Genomic DNA, 19869 nt, shown 5'->3' with positions numbered 1-19869 from the left:
TTCATTATTGGGGTGTGAATCCTTGTTGATGTTTACTGTCTATTTATTTTGAAGATACTAATCCTATATTTTTGTAAGTCAATGTCCTCCGGCCAGGACTACAAGAAACCAACTTTAATTAAGCAAGTTGGTTTTATTACTCAGTCATGAGTTATGGAGAATTTCAGGGCATCTCAGCACGAGGATGTTAGGAAGATCCTCTACAGATTTTGGGCTTTTATTTGGGGATTTTGGAAAGGGTTGAAGGAAGCAGGCTTTGCTCCAGACTGAATGCTGCAGGAAGATACTCAGTACAGTGAGTATATTTTATATATCTTTTGTATAGGGAGGACAGGTGAGAGAGATACTAAAGCTGTAATTGGTCAAGAAGTAGCAGCTATAGTACTGGTATAAAGATAGATACATCGACGTGTCTCTATTCTGGAACAGAACAAACCCTTGCGTGTGGAGTCCTAATTAGGGAAAAGGAGTCAGGCTGGCTGGACGAAGGGAAGCAAAAGGAGAAAGCAGACAAGCCATAAGTCTGCCTTTCTTCGTGGTCCAGGACACATAGCCCTGCTGTGCAAATAACTCACAATCTGCCTGTGCCCAGCCATCACCAGACCCTCAGCTGATAGAAAAATGGAAGTTAGTTCACTGCAACCCTGGCATTATTAGTACTGCACAAAGCCCTCTTCCACCCACAACATAAGCACCATTCTACAAAATCCCCAGCAAGCCTTTGTTTCCTAGCAGTCAGCTTCTCTCTTGCTGACCTGCCTGTTGCACCCTTGCAATGTATTTTCATACTTTATCTAATAAACCTGCCTTTCTTTACCTACAACTGTGTTGGTAAATTCTTCCTACCACCCATGTCACCAGCCCAGAAAGCTGCTAATCACCTGCAACACTGCATATATGTTAGAATAATCTTCAAAAAGAGTGCCAAGACCACACAATGGAAAAAGGACAATCTCCTCAACAGTGTTGGGAAAAACTAGATATCCACATGCAAAAGAATGAAGATGGACCTTTACCTTGGACCATACACAAAAAATAACTCCAAATAGATTAAAGACCTAAAAATATAACATTCTTAGTAGAAAACATAGGGGGAAAGCTTCATGGCCTTGGATTTGATAAAAATGTTGAAACAGGTAAGGGTTAATGGTCTCATTGTCTAAGGTGTTATCCGAACTTGTCTAACGACCGAGAAAACTAAGGAGCATGGGCACAAAGAGTGAGGTTGAAGCAAAAGTTTAATAAGCAAAAGAAGAAAGCTCTCCACAGCAGAGAGGGGAGCCCAAGTGGGGTGCCATTTTTACAGCTGAATTCAAAACCTATTATAAGAAACTCCTCTCATCTCTATAGTTGTTTGAGTAACTTCTCTTATGAATAAATCTGTCTGTGCAACTTCCCTTATCTTCTGCCGATGTGGGTATGTCTCTAGGCAAGCACAAAGCGTGGGTTCTCTTGTTTGTATCACTGTAGGTTTGTTTTAGGTAAGCCCCCCTCCTTCCTGTGCAAGTTCCCACGGAGTCCACTGTGTATATACCTGAAAAGGGGAGGAAAGTTTTTCCTGGGAGCTCGCCAATTACACGAAGAATGAAAAGCGTCTGTGCTGGACCCTACCTGCTTATCTGTGCAGGTGCAGCCTGAGTTTTGCCTAAGCTGCTCTATTTTGTTTGTAGCTGTGATTTTTCAGGCAGACTGCTTCTCCAAGGGCTAGCCTTAGCTGTCTACCTAACTGATTTTTCCTTTTCTTCTCCCTCAATTTTTTGGATAAAATACCAAAAGCACAGGCAACAAAAGCGAAAATAGACAAATGGGACTATATCAAATTTTAAAGTGTCTGCATATCAAGCAAAACAGTCAATAGAGAGAAAAGGAATTTGTATGGAATGGGAAAAAATAATTGCAAAGCATATATCTGATACGTTAATATGCAGAACATATAAAAAACTCCTACAACTCGACAACAGAAAAACAAGTAACCCAATTTTCAAAAAACTGGGCAAACGACCTGAATAGACATTCCTCCAAAGAAGATATACAAGAGGCCAAAAAGCATAGGAAAAGATGCTCAAATTGCTAATCATTAGAGAAATGCAAATCAAAACTACAATAATAATATCATCTTACACCCATTAGGATGGCTAGTATTTTTTTCAAGCACAGAAAATAAGTGTTAGCAAGGATGTGGAAAAATTGGAACGCTTATGCATTGCTGAAGGGAATGTAAAATGGTGCACCCACCAGGGAAAACAGTACGGAGTTTCCTCAAACGATTAAAAATAGAATTACCACATGATCCAGCAATCTCACTTCTAGGTTATATAGCCAAAAGAATTGAAAGTGGGATCTCAAAGATATTTGCACACCCATATTTATGGCAACATTATTCACAATAGCAAAAAGGTAGAAGTAACCCAAATGTCCATCATGGATTAATGGATAAAGAAAATGTGGTATGGGCCGGGCGCGGTGGCTCACGTCTGTAATCCTAGCACTTTGGGAGGCCGAGGCAGGTGGATCACCTGAGGCCAGGAATTCAAGACCAGCTTGGCCAACATGGCAAAACCCTATCTCTACTAAAAATACAAAAATCAGCTGGGCATGGTGGTGGGTGCCTGTAATCCTAGGTACTCGGGAGGCTGAGGCAGGAGACTCGCTTGAACCCAGGAGACGGAGGTTGCAGTGAGCCAAGATCATGCCACTGCACTCCAGCCTAAGGGATGGAGCGAGACTCTGTCTCCAAAAAGGAAAGAAAGAAAGAAAGAGAGAGAGAGAGAGAAGGAAGGAAGGAAGGAAGGAAGGATGGAAGGAAGACGGAAGGAAGGAAGGAAGGAAAGAGAGAGAGAAAGAAAGAGAAAAAGAAAAGAAAGAAAGAAAGAAAAAGAGAAAGAAAGAAAGAAAGATGGTATATGCATATGATGAACTATTATTCAGCCATATAAAAAGAGGGAAATTCTGTCACATGCTACAACATAGATTATCTTTGAGGTCGGGCACGGTGGCTCATGCCTGTAATCCCAGCACTTTGTGGGGCTGAGGCTGGCAGATGACCTGAGGTCAGGAGTTTGAGACCAGCCGTGCCAACATGGCGAAAACCTGTCTCTACTAAAAATACAAAAAAAAAAAAAAAAAAAGGCGGGGCCCAGTGGCTCACACCTGTAATCCCAGCACTTTGGGAGGCCAAGGCAGGCAGATTACCTGAGGTCCGGAGTTCAAGACCAGCCTGGCCAACATGGTGAAACCCCATCTCTACTAAAAATACAAAAATTAGCCAGGCATGGTGGCAGGCGCCTGTAATCCCAGCTACTTGGGAGGGTGAGGCGGGAGAATCACTTGAACCCCCTTGAACTCATGCCACTGCACTCCAGCGTGGGCAACAGAGCGAGACTCCATCCTAAAAAACAAAAATGAAAACAAAACCTTAGCTGGGCATGGTGGTGCATGCCTGTAATCCAGCTACTCAGGAGGCTGAGGTAGGAGAATCCCTTGAACCCCGGAGGTGGAGGTTGCAGCGTGCCGAGATCGCATCACTGCACTCCAGCCTGGGTGACAGAGCAAGACTCCATCTCAACAACAATAAAAACTTTGAGGACATTATGCTAAGTAAAATAAGGCACGACTGTAGATGCTGAGGATATAAAGATGTATGACAGTCTTTGCCCTCAAGGAACTTGGTGAAATGCTGGAGTGAAAGTAAGTAAATAGCTAATTAGTGTTATAGTAGAGGCAAGGGCCGTGTACTAAGGGAGCACATGGAGGCATCCAATCCTAATGGAAGGAGGGTAATTAGGGATGGCCTCCCAGAGGAGGTGATGCTTGATCTGCATCTTGAAGGATGAGTGGGAATTTGTCAGGGAAAAAGGAGGGAGATGAGGAAAGAAGTTCTAACCGGAAGGACCAACATCTTCAAAGGCACAAAGGCCAGAAAGCCCCATCGAAGTGTAAATGTGTTGTTGGAAAAGGGAGAAAGAAGGATGATGCAGATGGTGTTCACAGTTGCTTTCAGGACACTGGAAAGATAGGCATGACCAGATCATAAGGGCAACGTATGCCTTGCTAAGAAGTTTTAAATTTTTCCTAAAGATCGTGCAAATGCTAAAGAAGTTTAAGCAGCAGAATAATGCCACTTGATTTGTATTTTAGAAAACAACCCTGACTACAGTGTGTGGAATAGGCTGGGAGGACAATTCTAGAGGCAGAGTCTGGTTAAGAATTAAGGCAATAATTGAGTCAAGGAATGAAGGGTGCTGGTAGAGGAAACACAGAGGAAGGGAATGTGTTTAAGAGCGATTAAAAAGGCAGAAGGGAGGAGGCTTAGAGACCAAATGGATATGAGAGAGGAAAGAGGGAGGAATAAGAGATAACTTTATTTCTAGTTTGAGTGATTGAGTGGATGATGATTTCATTCACCAAGATGGGGAACAAAGGAGGAGGGACAGTTTGGAGAAAAGTAAATGTCATCATTGGCTGGGCTGGCTGGAGACTGGGATATGACCCTCAGAAAAGAGATAAAAAAGAGATCCAATCATCATCATCATCATCATTTTTTTTTTTTCTTTTTGAGATGGAGTCTTGCTCTGTCGCCCAGGCTGGAGTGCAGTGGTGCGATCTCAGCACACTGCAACCTCCACCTCCTGGGTTCAAGCTATTTTCCTGCCTCAGCTATTCTTCTTCCTCAGTTCAAGATATTCTCAGCCTCCCAAGTAGCTGGGATTGCAGGTGCGCACAACCCTGCCTGGCTAATTTTTTTTTTTTTTTTTTTTTTTTGTATTTTTAGTAGAGACAGGGTTTCACTATGTTGGCCAGGCTGGTCTTGAACTCCTGACCTCAGGTGATCCACCTGCCTCGGCCTCCCAAAGTGCTGGGATACAGGTGTGAGCCACCATGCCCAGCCCCAGTCATCATTTTATGAATGAACTAGGATTGATGAGATTGCCTAGGATGAGAGAATAAAATACAAAAAGAATTGAGCAATTGCTGAGGAAAAATAAGATTTAAGGGACACATAAGCAAAAGGAACCCACAACAGAAACTGAGTCATAGTGGAACAGATAATAAGAAAATTTGGTATCTTAGAAACCAAGGATGAGTCATACTAGAGAGGCCAAATAAAGTGAGGACTAAAAGCTTTCATCAGGTTTAACAATCACAAGGTCTTAGTATCCATAGCGAGAGTAGTTTCGGTGAGATTGTTGGGAGTGGGGTTGGGGAAATGGAACCTGATTGCAGGAGGCAAGGAGGAAGTGGAAAGCAGGAAAATGGAGGTGGTAGGTGTGGACTCAACTTTCAAGATGAAAGAAAGGAGAGACCATACCCAAAGGGAAGTGTGCAAGAGGGAGGTGTTTCTTTTCTTTTTCTTTTTTCTATAGGAAAAGTTGTAGACATATCAGAAGAGGGAAAACAGTTAAAGATACAGGAGAAAAGGAGTCCTTGAATTAATTAGGGGGTGGAATGGGATCCAAAGCCCAGTGGATGATTAACCTTTTCCATGGTAACCAGAGGAAAGAAGAAAATAATGGGTGGGGATGAAGGGAGGCTCAGGAGTTTTGGCGGCAAGAAGTTAAAGGCATTCTCTTCTGATGGTTTCTATTTTCTGGGTGAAATAAAAACCTAGTTTATATGCTGTGAGGATAGAGCTGTGAGAAGAATAGCCAGTTTGAGGAAAAATTGCCTGAGGAGAGTGGCGAATATGTGAATACTCTCTGTGGAGAGCATACATGGAAGCAGACCTGTGGGAACGGGCTGCTGAAGGCCTAGTCAGTGTTCAGATCATAAATATAAAAGACGTATGTGTAGTAAAGGGTTAACTCTGCAGGTTCTGATTGCTCAAGCCCTGCAAGTTCAAGGAATGGTCTGTCTTCGGGAGGACTGGCCCTTGACCAACTCCTCATGCCACACTATATCAGTTTGACTAGATATGCTAACAGCGTGACTATGGTAAAGCCTGTTTCCGTATGCCTGAGGCCCTGGGCCATGCTGTATCAGTTTGACCTCCGGGAGGCTGGAAATTGAGTAGGTAAGGTCAGTCATGCAGGTGACGCATGCCCATGCAACTGGCCCGCAATAAAAACCCAAGGCTTGGGTGAGCTTCCTGCTCGGCAATACTTCACACATGTTGCCATGCATCATTGCTGGGAAAATTAAGCACATCTCTGTACAAATTCTTCTGGGAGGCCATACCTGGAAGCTTGCACCTGGTTTCTCTTGAACTTCACCCCTGGGCCTTTTCCCTTCGCTGAATTTTAATCTGTATCCTTTCACTCTAATAAACCATAACTTTGTATATCAGCTTTTCTGAGTTCTGTGAATCCTCCTAGTAAATCAGTGAGCCTGAGGGAGCCTGAGGGAGCCTGAGGATGATCTTGGTGACTGCCGATACAGCATCCACTGTCTATAATATTGAATAACTGGAGACATCTAAATGACTACAAGTAATAGATTGGTTAAATGGGTTGTTTTATCAATTCAGTGAAATACTAGGCAACTACTAAGAAATATAACAAAGAGGGATGTGGTAGCTATATCAGAAAGTTTTTTAAAATAATATTTTTTTATTTTGTGGGTACATACTAGGTGTATATATTTATGGGGTACATGAGATGTTTTGATATAGGCGTGCAATGTGTAATAATCACATTACAGAAAATGGGGTATCCATCCCCTCAAGCATTTATCCTTTGTGCTACAATCCAATTACACCCTTTTACTTATTTTTAAATGTAAAATTATATTATTATTGAGTATAGTCATCCTGTTGTGCTATCAAATACTAGGCCTTATTCTATTTCTTTTTCTTTTGGTAACAATTAATCATCCTCACCTCCTCCCTAACCGCCAGCTACCCTTCCCAGCCTCTGGTAACCATCCTTCTACTCTCTATCTCCATAAGTTCAATTGTTTTGATTTTTAGATCCCATAAATAAGTAAGAACGTGCGATGTTTGTCTTTCTCTACCTGGCTTATTTCACTCACATAATGATCCACAGTTCCATCTATGTTGTTGCTAGTGACTGAATCTAATTCTTTCTATGGCTGAGTAGTACTCTATCACATGAGTACCACATTTTCTTTATCCATTCATCTGTCGATGGACACATAGGTTGCTTCCATATCTTGGCTACTGTGAATAGTGCTGCAGCAAACACGGAAGTGCAGATATCTCTTTGACATACTGATTTCCTTTCTTTGGGGTATATACCTAGCAGTGGGATTGCTGGATTGTATGGTTATATCATAAAGTTTTAAAAAGCTGGTTTACAAGTAGAAATGTCTGAGCACATTTACTTTAAAAATACATATATGTATGCACATATATGAAAAATGTTGAAAGATAGATGGTATATAAAACCATTAACTAGTTATTTATGGGAGTGGGCATTATGAGAGAGACTTACATGAAATGCATTATGTACTTCTTCTTATATAGTTTTTATTTATCTATTTCAACTAGTATTATTAAAATTCTTCACCATGAAGAATAATAGATATTTATATTCTGGAAAAGAGGTGAAACGTAAGGGTTCATTTACTGACATTTTATTATGGTATCCTTAGAAGTGAGATTTCCCTTCTCAATTCCCTAAAATTACTGCATAAGTTCCTTCAAGGATAGGGGCAGGAGACACATCTCGATTGTTACTGAATGCCCGCAGAGGCTGGCTCAGTATATATCTAACTGGGAGTGAATTTAACAGCTTCTGTATTTAGGATTTTAGCCACTAGGGGGCATTATTTGCCTTTTGGTAAAATACGTTTTCTCTGCACTTGTCTTGAAAAAAGGAAAAATGAATATGGAAGCCCTGTAAGAGCATAATCAGGATGTTAGGCCCAAGGAAGGAAATGCTATCTTTAGAGAGGGAGCTGGGTTGCTTTCCCGTCAAGGAAAGGAGAAGAGGCTCTCTGTTTTAGGATTAGTAGATACACACAAACACACACACACACACACACACACACACACACACACAGCCACAATTTGTTTTTATCACCATTAAAACTGCAATCTTGATGAATATTGAGTAAGCAAAAATTTCTTATAAATGCTAAGAGATCGTCAAGTGTGCGATGGCTTGCTTTTTTGAGAAGGCACCCATTTTATGTAACAAGGCTGACCGCATGCGGATACACATGACCCCAGTCTTCTTACTCTAGTTGTTTCTCAAAACTTGTGGGCTTCTAGAGCATAGTCACAGTTGTGATTTATAATTATCATCTATAGAACATTTACTATAAGTGCAGATCTCTGCTGAGCAGTCACAGAGAAATTTCCCTTCTTTTGTCTCATCACCTCCTCATCATGGTCCAAATACAAGTTCCTCTTTCTATTAATATTTCCAGCATTGCCACCAGTGCCCTCCTGCATCCGTGAGTTATCAGTAACTGTTTGTCAATTTTTACAATTATGTTCTTAATGCGACTTAAGATCTAGGACAGATGTGAAAATATACTTTGAGGCTCCCAAATAACAATGTCGAACAAAAATATAAATGGAAGAATAATAACATGATTCTATAGAAGGTAGGTACCTAGGACGTGATGAGTTCAAATTTAGCACTGTCTTTGAGGCACATAGTCTGAGGCCAGAGAAAACCTAGAAGTGAATCCCAAGCTGCATCTGGGCCTGCTACTTACTAATAGGTAATCGTGTACTCTTAAAAAGTTATTTGATTTCCCAAGTCTCAGCTCCTTAATATGTAAAATAGGAATAAGTATAGGCACATTGCAGAGCCGTAGTAAGAATGGACAACATATCTCATTAGTGCGATAAAGAAATTCTAAGTTAAACCACTGCACTAGAGGCAGTTCAGAGAGGATGCAGAACAGGAGAGGCTGGAGCTATGGTGAAGAAGTGGCCTGGAGAAATGGCTATGGGTGACTGGTGAGAAAAGCTGTTGGGCAGAGATAAATCACTACACAACCAGTCCAGGAATTCAATGGCCATGAGAACTTAGAGAAAAGTAGATCTTAATCATCTACCCTGCCACAACCACATCCCTAAGTCTGCATATTCATTTAGAGGCTCGTCTTTGTAAAGATGTGTCCTCCTTCTGTAGCACCTATTATCAAGATTCTGAGGCAATAACTTCAGCTCTACAGAACCCTAGGACCAGCGATAATGGATTGGTAGTTGAAGCCCTCTCACTGCGTAGGAATAACTTGGCCAACTGAGCAAATAACTCTTCCTGCCCAACTTCCGACCCTCCCCACCCAACCCAACATTAGCACATCCATCACATTGTTTATCTGTCCTTCTGAGAAATGCTGGGGCAGGAACCGGTTCGTGACATTTGGGCCATGCTCTCAGTTCCTTTTTTGATTCAAGAAGAAATTGGTAAACAGAGAGTCAGATGAGTGGGGCAAGGGAGACCACAGATGTTCCCCATTCCACATCAGGGTTTGCTGAGTGACACTTTGCACAAACCCTCTCCCTCCATTCTTCCCCGGACAGACAAAATGCAGAGAATGGCCATGGGTCCCGTCACAACCTTGGAGAGCTTTTGCTGCCTGCACTTAGGCCAGTGTGTTATAGTGGAAAGAGCTCTGGACTTGCATGCACAAACCCTAGATTTAAATTTTGGTTCTGTCACGTAGTAGTTAAATAACTTTGGCCCAGCCAGTTAAGCTCTCTGAACTTCTGTGCCCCTATCCAAAAAAAGTTAAGGCCAATAATGCCTTCTCTAATATTCCCTAAAGGATTTTTGAACTAGAAAAATCAGAAGTCCTGTAAACTTTAGGTTAGTCCACAGATTATTTCCAAATCCTTTAAGATGTCATGCCAACAAACATATCTCCTTACCACCAAATATATCCCCTTCTTTCTCCCAGATGTCTCAAACCATACGTTCAATTGACAGTACAAACAAAATACTTTGGCGGCTGGGACAAAGAAATAATTCATTTTAGCTGGAGGAAGCTGGGAAAAATTCTTAGAATAGGTGACTTTAAGCTGGGTCTTTCCCACGGGTGAAAGAAATGAGGGATAAGGGCCTGGAAAGGGTGGTAGAAAGAGCGATGAGGCAAAGGTGGCAGAGACATGAAGGCTAAGACACTTGAAGTTGTTTTATTCAATGTGCCTGGCATGTCTAGGCAAAAAGGAGAATTAGTTTTGAGACTTTGCAAGCTGTCTTGGAACATGTGTTCAGTCACCCTGGCCACATCCGCCCTTATGGTGGCCACAGAGTCGCAGTGCTGTCATAGGCCAGGGCTCCTGCAGTCTCGTGTCCTTGTCCCTCACAGGCTTCATGTTCACAGCCCTCTCACAGAGGATCTCAAATCCCCTTACTGGGGCTACAGGGGTACTCCATGGGCAAGTCCCACCTGCTTCTATACCTTCAGGCTATCAAACCTTAAGGCTGCCTCCAATCCAAAATGATATTCTCAGGGCAGATGACTGCAGGAAGGGCTTGTAAATGCTCCTAAAAAGAAGCAGTGTCCACTAGGTGCCAGCATGAGCTTACCAAGAATGGTCTTGCCCTGATAGTCTGTTTTTTTGGTTTTCTTTTTTTTTTTTTTTGACAGGATGAGTAGACAGGCAGATTAGGGAAATGTTCATATACTGGGTACTTCCCTAGGCTTCTGGACAGACCTCCTTGTGGACAAGGGAGATAATTATGAGCTCAATATGAGAACAGTCAACTACTCAGCCTGGCCAATATGGCGAAACCCTGTCTCTACTAAAAATACAAAAATTAGTCAGGCATGGTGGCAAGCACATGTAATCCCAGCTACTCTGGAGGCTGAGGCAGGAGGATTGCTTGAACCCAGGAGGCAGAGGTTGCAGTGAGCCAAGATCGTGCCACTGCACTCCAGCCTGAGTGACAGATTAAGACTTTGTCTCAAAAAAAAAAAAAAAATACAAAAAAAATAGAGAGAGAACAGTCAACTAGGCTGGTAATTGGTCAAACAATCATACCAAAAGAGTACAACACAGATAGGTAGCGATCAAGAAATAGATTTCTAGTGAGATAGAGCTCCACCCAAATTTCTTTCATCTGCTTTATTCAATTTTTTAAAAAAGTAATTTTGATTAGAGCATAAAGATATGCTTACCTAATATGCATGTGTTACAAGCTGGGAGGGACTGTACTGGGATCAAAAATTGTCTTATTACATTAACAAAGACATAATTTAAAAGAGATAAATATAAGGTATAAGGTTTTGCATTTTGGTCCCCAAAATGAACTGCATAAACAAAAGTTGGGGAGCAAAGAGGTGTGCTTTAGATGAAAACAATCTCTCTGGTAAGTTTATAGGCAATAAGCCCAATGGGGCTGGAGAATATCACGAGTCCTGGAGAGGAAGCTATCTCGTTAGGCTACATTCAACTCCATGTAAATGGCTGGAGTTCTATTTCTATTCCATCACTATCAAGTCATTTCAGCTCTCTGGGTCTCAATTTCCTTTCTCTCAAATTAACAAGTTAGACTAAATCCCTAAGTCTTTTCCAGCAATAAAATTCTAGGACTAACCCCTTTGTTGTCTGTAGAGGTGGTGTCAACATCCACTCATTACCATCTCAAGTGCCTTTCTGAACTGCAGAGCCTGGAAATGTAAAAGGGACCGTGACTCCCCTGCAGTGAGGTGCTTGGTGTAATTTAAGTCTGGCCATTCAGAAGCCCTTATACAACACATGGAAGGTAAAAGTGAAGCGGAGGCTGTACTACTGCAGCTGATGTTGCTTCTGGAAACCTGGTTGAGAAAGATTTTGGTTTTTCTTTACCAGCAATAGTACCTACCTAGTGTCCAGGATCTAGCTTTGTGTTGCTAGGGGCAGGGCCCTGAGCATCCATTCCTTGGACCATAGAAGACAGGTATGGTCTTGGCACCGTAGCAATAGCAGTGTCTCTTCTATCGTGACTGTTTTCTTAATCATAGCAATGGCTGTGTGACCCAAGGCTGGCAAATTTCTGATCTCAGAAGAGGCAGCAACTCCCTTGTTGAACTGATATTGGGAAACTTTGCTGAGAACACAAACTACAGTCTGTCTCTTCATCTCTCCCAACCATTTTGTAAGCTATTAAATACTGTGTAATAAATTCCTTCCTCCTTAATCCAGCTAGAGTTAATTCTGTTCTCTGAAATTGAATCCTGATCAATATAATAATATACTTAAAAAGCTCTTTTTTAAAATAAAAGGCCTGGAAGAGTGCACATCAAATTGTTAAATAGTGGTTACATCTATAACCCACTGAGGGAGTGGGTGGGAGGATGGCAAGAAAAATAGGCTTAACATTTTTTTAATACAGTATGAAGTTTTCAAATAGACTATATTCATAATAATGTTTGAAAAATTAAATAAAGTGTAACTTGTATGTTAAAAGCACAATTCATTACCTGATCAAAATGTAGCTCTTTTATCTTTCAAAATCAATTTAAAATGTATTCAGTGTGGGTAATCCTCCCTGGCTCACAGCACCCTGCTACTCAAAGTGTGGCCCAAGAACCTTCAACATTGGCATCAATTAGAAGCTTCTCAGAAATGCAGACTCTCAGGCCCCACCCCAGACCACTGAATCACAATCTGCATTTGCCGTGGATATTGGCAAACTTTAATGTACACATGAATCACCCAGCGCCCTGGTGATTCATGTGTACATTAAAGTTTGCAAATAGCCATGATTTTTCTGCTTCTTTAGGTAATGGAGAGTCTTATAATGACTTTAGGCTACAAGTATAGTTTCAATTTCTAAATCAGGATGCCCATTCTAGATGTTAATCAGACCTCCAGTCTTTATCCAAAGGTAAGTCTGTCTTCTTACTTATCCATTTAAGGTGTTGACTTGGGGAAGGGACTTGATTGGTGTTTCTCTCTCTCTCTCTCTCCCTCTCTCTCTCTCTCTCCACATCCCCTCCTCCTCTCATTAGCGTCTGTTTGCTTCTCACGTAGGCCAAAGTAGGAGAGCAGAGGGAAGAAAGGGAGAATAGGTAAGGGAACAGAAAGTTATTTGGCTGAGCTGCTTTCTACTCTCTGAATTTGACAGGTGGCTAAAGCTAACTTGTTCTCCCATGAGCATTTTTGTAGACTTTTTGGATGTTTATTTCTGGGAATTGTTTCCTTAGGGTGTTGTGCTCAAGGCAGATGCATCTCTCCTCCAGGTGTTCCAGTGCACCTCTTTCCTCTGCCCCTAGGAATATAGATGCAACTCCAGCTTTTTGGTGCCTTTATCTGCCCCTCCTGGTGACCCTATAGTACAGGAACCAAGGCAACCCCATACTAGGTCTCTTTCTTCTTAATTTTATTGTTATTGTTTCTTTCTTTTTATAAAGACACAGTGTCTTTCTGTGTTGGCCAGGTTGGAGTGCAGTGGGTATTCTCAGGTGCTATCTCACTATTAGTCAGCACAGAGTTTTGACCTGCTCCATTTCTCACCCGGGCCATTTACCTCTCCTTAGGCAATCTAGAGATCCCCTGCTCCCAGGAGATCACCATATTGATGCCGAACTTAGTATGAATACCCAATGGGCATAGTGCACTAGAGCCCAGAACTCCTGGGTTCAAGCGATCCTCCTACTGCAGCCCCCTGAGGAGCTGGGACTACTGGCATGCACCACTGTGCCCAGCAAGCACTCTGTTTTTCATAGGCCACAGAAATATATATAGATGTGGCTCCTGGATCTTTTGTAGGGCTGGCTAATCCTAAAATAGGCTCTTCTATCCTACCACCATAGCTCACTTTAACTTTCTCAAGCCTAAGTCAGGCCCAGTTCCCTGTATCTCCCTACTGCAGAGAATACATTTCAGACCTACCTGGGTGATTCCATGGGTATCTTTCTCATTAGGCTTGAGAATGAGGAGGTAAGCTTCCCATGCCTCCCCACTATGAAGGGGAAATATGGCAAATAAATCATTTCACAGATCCTCTCTCCTCTCCATATCCTGGCCCCTTTTTATCCCTTGACATGATTTCAGAGTCCAAAAGTCAAGGAACAGATAGATCCTCAACCATTTCCTTTGTAAATTCTTCATATGATGATCCAGCTTCAGAATTTCATGTCCACTGTATCTTGAAATATCATTTCTGACATCCTGTCACAAGTACAATTGTTTAATTGTACAAAATAAAAATAAAACCCTGCCTTCCTGCCGTATTCTCCCTGGACACATCCATCTGAGGAACATGGTAAGTAAGTCATGGGTCCCAAATTTTAAAACTGGAGATATGCTATTTAAAAAACGAGTGGTTTGGGGGGACATGGATGAAGTTAGAAACCATCATTCCCGGCAAACTAACACAAGAACAGAAAACCAAACACCGCATGTTCTCACTCATAAGTGGGAGTTGAACAATGAGAACACATGGACACAGGGAGGGGAACATCACACACTGGGGCCTGTTGGGGGCTAGGGAGGTAGGGAAGGGATAGCATTAGGAGAAATACGTAATGCAGATGACGGGTTGATGGGTGCAGTAAACCACCATGGCACATGTATACCTATGTAACAAACCTGCACGTTCTGCACATGTACCCCAGAACTTAAAATATAATAAAAATAAAACAAAATAAAAATAGGTTAACAGCAAAAATAAAAATAAAAATAAAAAGGCCAGGATGGAGAAGGAATTCCAAATTTGAAAAAGTTAAAAACCCTGAGGAAAAAAAAATTCGAATGAAATAGTATACCTTTAAGAAAACATAGGCATGAGCTAAGCAGTGTCTTTAGTTATCTGAAGGCCTGTCAAGAGGGCCAGAAATTAGATTTGTTCTGTGTAACACAAGGGGGTACAGTGAGTAGAAGTTACAACAAAATCATTTTGCTCATTATAGTAAGGAAGAACTTTTTAATTTCTAGAGCTGTCCAAAGATAAGAGTGGGCTTTCCTTGGGAAGTAATGGAAGGCCACATTCTCACAAAAAGTCAAGCACAGCTGCGTGGCCACATGGCAGGAAAAATTTAGAAGCATCTCTTTTTTTTTTTTTGAGACGGAGTTTCATTCTTGTTGCCCAGGCTGGAGTGCAATGGGGAGATCTCGCTTCACTGCAACCTCCGCCTCCCAGGTTCAAGCAATTCTCCTGCCTCAGCCTCCCAAGTAGCTGGGATTACAGGTGCGTGCCACCATGCCCCACTAATTTTGTATTTTTGGTAGAGACTGGTTTTCACCATGTTGGTCAGGCTGGTCTCAAACTCCTGACTTCAGGTGATCTGCCCACCTCAGCCTCCCAAAGTGTTGGGATTACAGGCATAAGCCACCATGCCCAGCCTGAAGCATCTCAATAAATGGTTTCTTGGTTGAACTAAACAGTCTTTACTTTCCCCTTCAGATTTTTTGAGGACCTCCAATTCATCCTGAAAGATGTCCACCTTTAGTCTCTGGCCACATGTAGGACTATATGTAACTTTTTTTCCTAGACATTTTGAAGTTTGTTTGCCTAGAGCTCAGGATTTTTTATTTTATTTTATATATTCTAAGACTTTTTTAAACAATGTTTTAACATCTCTGAAATCATGATGTATCTAATAATTGCTGTCTTGTTATAGTTTTCATTGCTTATATGAACATTAAAATACCAGCATCAAAATTTACAAAATGGTGTAAGCAGCTTGGAGAAAATTTCTAGAGACAACAGTGAAGCAACTGTTAGTTGTGGGAAAAATGGGGTGGGTGGTGAATCAGACTTGTGTAGCAACATTCCTGGAGCAGAAGTCAAAAGCAAGTTAGCTCCAGATAATTATAAAACCAGCTTAAAAGTCTGGCAACAACGACTGTTACTTTTTTATGACTTCCTTTAAGAAATGCAGCACTTCCCATGATTTTCATAGAAAAGATGTCACAGGAGTGAGGAAACATGGGCACTGATAAATATGAGTTGGAAAGTGATTCAGAAAAGTCAGAATCTGAATGTAAAAACATTTTAGAAGTATCTTACCCAATTTATTTCACATATGTTTCCCTGTTTATTCATTATTTATGATTTTATAAGTCTATTTTAATTAAGTCTAAAAGACATTGTGTAGTTATTTAGCCATGTTTTCCCTTTTCTTATGCTTTCTTTAATGGTGTATCCTATAATTAATATCATTTTAGATTCAATGAATTACAGTCATAATAACAGTTTACTGCTTCTTATGTATTAGATGTACTACTTACAAATCTCATTTAATCCTTCTAGCAATTCTATAGGCATGTACTATTATCATTCCGTTTTACAAAAGAGGAAACAGAATTTCAGAGACAATGTATCTTGCCCAAAGCTACACAGCTGTTAAGTAGTAAAAGCAACATTCGAACCCAAGTCTATTGACTCCTGAGCCAAGACTCTTAACTTTATACAACTCTGCCATCTCTAGGTCCAAAGCTAATTAGCTTGGCTATTACAACTTAACATGATGCACTAGGGTATATTTACTGTTAAGAGATGAGAGAATGATCATCTCCCACACTGCAGTGAGACTGACGCCTTTGAACTGAAAAAGACAGTAGTGTGTTGTACCAATTTTTTAGTCTCAGCTCTATCAGGCGTGTACATTTATATGAGGATTCTCATTATAAGTAGAATGTCAAACATTGAAACCAATTATCTTTGCAGGTAGAGTGACTAGGGAACAAACTAAACCAATATGGGCTAACTATAGTACATGCTGAAAATCTCGCGAAGGACTACAATGATCTAGCTTGGAATAAGAGCTCTAATGGACAGAAAACGGGTATTTAATAAGGAATTACAGTCAGAAGTGCAGTTCTTTGAGCTAACTACAGAACAGCTAGCAAGGAATTCAGGAGTTGGATGGGTTAGCATTACAAATAAGTGCACTGACCCTTGGGGGACTGTACCACTGGACTGCTGTATGGCACAGGATAGTAAATCTATCGGGATCTGACTAGGGACACTCAACACTGGATAGTCAAAAGGTTTTCGTGGGTTTAATTAAAAAATAAAAGTACAATGATATGCTCTCTTGACCAAGGTAAGAGAAACAAGCTTTCACCTTCATAATTAGTAGAAGCACAAATTGGTACATTCTCTTTGAGAAATAATTTGCAACATCTATTAAAATTCTAAAAAGACACATATCCTTCGATGCAACAATTCTACTTCTAGGAGTTTATCCTACAGACATATTCAGATATGTGCGTAAAGATACAGATGTAAAGATATTCATTGCAACATAATTTAAAACAGCACAAGTTTAGAAACAAATAGCTTATCGGTGGGGACTGGCAGGAAGTTGATTCCTGGACCCCCACACTGGGCTTAGTATCTCTCCTCTGTGCTTCTTATCATCAACTGTTTTAAAACCTCTAATGATGAAAGGATCTGTTTGTTTGTCTCTCCCTGTGAGGTTACTATTATTTCCCTCACTTTGCAAATGAGGAATCTTGGGCTCAGAAGGCCTGTGCAGCCCTTCTACAACAGTTGAAGCAAAAATATATACAAAAATAAAGTCATGAAAGGTGGTGGTGTGTTGGGGAAAGAGCAGGTGGTCATTGTGGCCATAATATATGATGAATGGGCTCAATATACTGTGATGGGAAGTTTGGACTTTAACCTAGAGAATTTAATTCAATCTCTTAGGAAAAAAGCCATGAGTGTGAAACCTATAAACCAAAAAGCATCTGAGACGGGTCTCAATCAGTTCATAGGTTTATTTTGCCAAGGTTAAGTACCATAGCCCGTGATACAGCCTCAGGGATTCCTCAGAACATGTGCCTAATTTGGTTGGGCTACGCTTGGTGTTATACATTTTAGGGAGACAGAAGTTACAAACAAAGACATAAATCAATACATGTAAGGTATACATTGGCTTGGCCTGGAAAGGCAGGACATCTCAAAGTCGGGTTGAGGGGGCGACTTCTAGGTAATAGGTGGATTCAAAGATTTTCTGACTGGCAATTCGTTGAAAGAGATAAGCTATGCCTGAAGAATTGAAGTCAGCTTGAGTTAAGGGAAGGGAGCGGTTCTGGAAGCCAAGGTTATTCTCATGTAGGTGAAACCTCCAGACTTCAGAGAGAATAGATAGTGAATATCTCTTATCTGACCTTAAAAGATGTCAGACTCTTAGTTACATCTCTTCTGGATCAGGAAAAGACCTGGAGAGGGAAGAGGATTCTCTACGGAATGTAAATTTCCCCCACAAGAGACAACGTTGCAGGGCCATTTCAAAATATGTCAAAGAAATATAGTTTGGGGTAAAATACTTTGATTTTCAGAGTCAGGTTGGAGTTGGTATCTTATTGCTACATAGTCAGTTCTGTCAGTCTTAGGATCTCTATTTTAATGTTATGCTGGTCAGTTGTGCTAAACTCCAAAAGGGGGAGGGTATAATTAGGCATGTCCAATCCCCCACTTCCCTTCGTGGACTAAACTGGTTTTTCAGGTTTCTTTGAAATCTTCTTGGTTGTGAGGGGGGTCCATTCAGTCTATTGGGGGGGCTTAGAATTTTAATTTTGGTTTACAAACCCAAAGAGATCCCCCTTTCATAGTGTAAGGTCAAGTAAAAACTGAGACTCAAGGAGAACAGTTTAAAGAGTAAGGCTGAAATCCAAAGGGAATGCGACAGAATTTTTTCTGCTCTCTGATAGCGGACATTGGGGTTCCTTGTCTGGCATCTGCTATGGACAGCCGCAGGATTAGGGTTTGCAGCCTAAGTCTGAGACACCAAACTGATCAGAGTATCAGAGAGAAGCAGATTCCTCCCTAGGTTTCTCCAGCATTTTTCTGCCATCCCTGCTGTTTGGGAATGAGCTCTGAGAGTCCCCTTGGACAACCTGGGCTAGCTAGCCTTCTGGTTTCCCTAAATGCATGTAGGAACCTCAAACAAAAGGGATGAAGATGAAGCTGATATTTCCTTAATGCAGGTCTTCCTGGGAGATCAATAACAGATATCTTAGAAGATCATCTTGATCCTGCCCTCCTCTTAAAAGCTGGGGTACACGAAGAAGACAGTGGAGTCTACAGGCCATATGAGTCAATTCCTCTCCCCTACACCAGAAAGTTGAGTCATGAATGATTTTCACTCTCACCAAAAAGTCCTTGTTCTTCCCCATCCCCCCGCATCCTAGTTCTAAATGGAAGTAGATGGCAAAACAAGAACAAGGATGTTGATGTTGCCAAAAAGGTGTGAATGAAAGAGATACTGCTGCCCTAGCTCTCCTTTGAGTAACTATTTCTCTTTTTTGTACTCTTAAAAAATGATCAACTGATTTTTTAAATGACCTGAGATTCTTTGATTACTAAGCCTCTTGCCACTAATGTTAGTCACTTCCTGTCTATATCAAGATGGCAGAAACCGGCCGGGCGCGGTGGCCCAAGCCTGTAATCCCTGCACTTTGGGAGGCTGAGGCAGGTGGATCACCTGAGGTCAGGAGTTCAAGACCAGCCTGGCCAACACGGTGAAACCCCGTCTCTACAAAAATACAAAAATTAGCCTGGCATGATGGCAGGTGCCTGTAATCCCAGCTACTGGGGAGGCTGAGGTGGAAGAATCACTTGAACCTGGGAGGCGGAGGTTGCAATGAGCTGAGATTGCTCCAGCCTGGGTGACAGAGTGAGATGTGAGACTCCGTCTCAAAAAAAAAAAAAAAAAAAAAAAGCAGAAATCTCAGGGAAACAAAATCAGAAGGGGAAAAGAGCCTGGGCACTGAAATAGAGTGCAGTTAGCTAGGAAAGGTGGCCTTGGAAGAGAGTTCTGAGAAGTGAGATGAGCCTGCATCAGAAAGCTGGAAATCAGAGCCACAAAGGCCCTTGTAGACCAAGACCCCAGAACTGAATTATAGGCACCTGGACATATCTCTCAGAGTTAAGCAAAGATCCACTGAGATAAGTTTGATTCTTCTTGTCTAATTTTAAGTTAGCATTTCCTCAGATTAGACATATTGATGCCTTCATGTCAGGAATGCTTTCAGATAGCCATCCCAAGTATCCAACAGGCTAAAGCACT

At 41.4% G+C, this 19869-nt stretch overlaps 1 pseudogene, besides 5 other annotated features; it reads right to left on the bottom strand.

Moving 5' to 3' along the window:
• Positions 1347 to 1396: an enhancer, noted in NCBI's record as "active region_2004". NCBI's record gives its function as "activates an Ori minimal core promoter by ATAC-STARR-seq in GM12878 lymphoblastoid cells {active_cell/tissue: GM12878}" and the evidence as "EXISTENCE:reporter gene assay evidence [ECO:0000049][PMID:35858748]".
• Positions 1497 to 1576: an enhancer, noted in NCBI's record as "active region_2003". NCBI's record gives its function as "activates an Ori minimal core promoter by ATAC-STARR-seq in GM12878 lymphoblastoid cells {active_cell/tissue: GM12878}" and the evidence as "EXISTENCE:reporter gene assay evidence [ECO:0000049][PMID:35858748]".
• Positions 5157 to 5316: an enhancer, noted in NCBI's record as "active region_2002". NCBI's record gives its function as "activates an Ori minimal core promoter by ATAC-STARR-seq in GM12878 lymphoblastoid cells {active_cell/tissue: GM12878}" and the evidence as "EXISTENCE:reporter gene assay evidence [ECO:0000049][PMID:35858748]".
• Positions 10153 to 10362: an enhancer, noted in NCBI's record as "active region_2001". NCBI's record gives its function as "activates an Ori minimal core promoter by ATAC-STARR-seq in GM12878 lymphoblastoid cells {active_cell/tissue: GM12878}" and the evidence as "EXISTENCE:reporter gene assay evidence [ECO:0000049][PMID:35858748]".
• Positions 13150 to 13259: an enhancer, noted in NCBI's record as "active region_2000". NCBI's record gives its function as "activates an Ori minimal core promoter by ATAC-STARR-seq in GM12878 lymphoblastoid cells {active_cell/tissue: GM12878}" and the evidence as "EXISTENCE:reporter gene assay evidence [ECO:0000049][PMID:35858748]".
• Positions 13258 to 13552, bottom strand: RN7SL466P (RNA, 7SL, cytoplasmic 466, pseudogene; annotated as a pseudogene).

Source organism: Homo sapiens, chromosome 1 (genome assembly GCF_000001405.40).
Source record: "Homo sapiens chromosome 1, GRCh38.p14 Primary Assembly".
NCBI lineage: Eukaryota > Metazoa > Chordata > Mammalia > Primates > Hominidae > Homo > Homo sapiens.
This window is presented reverse-complemented; position numbering and strand designations above follow the sequence as displayed.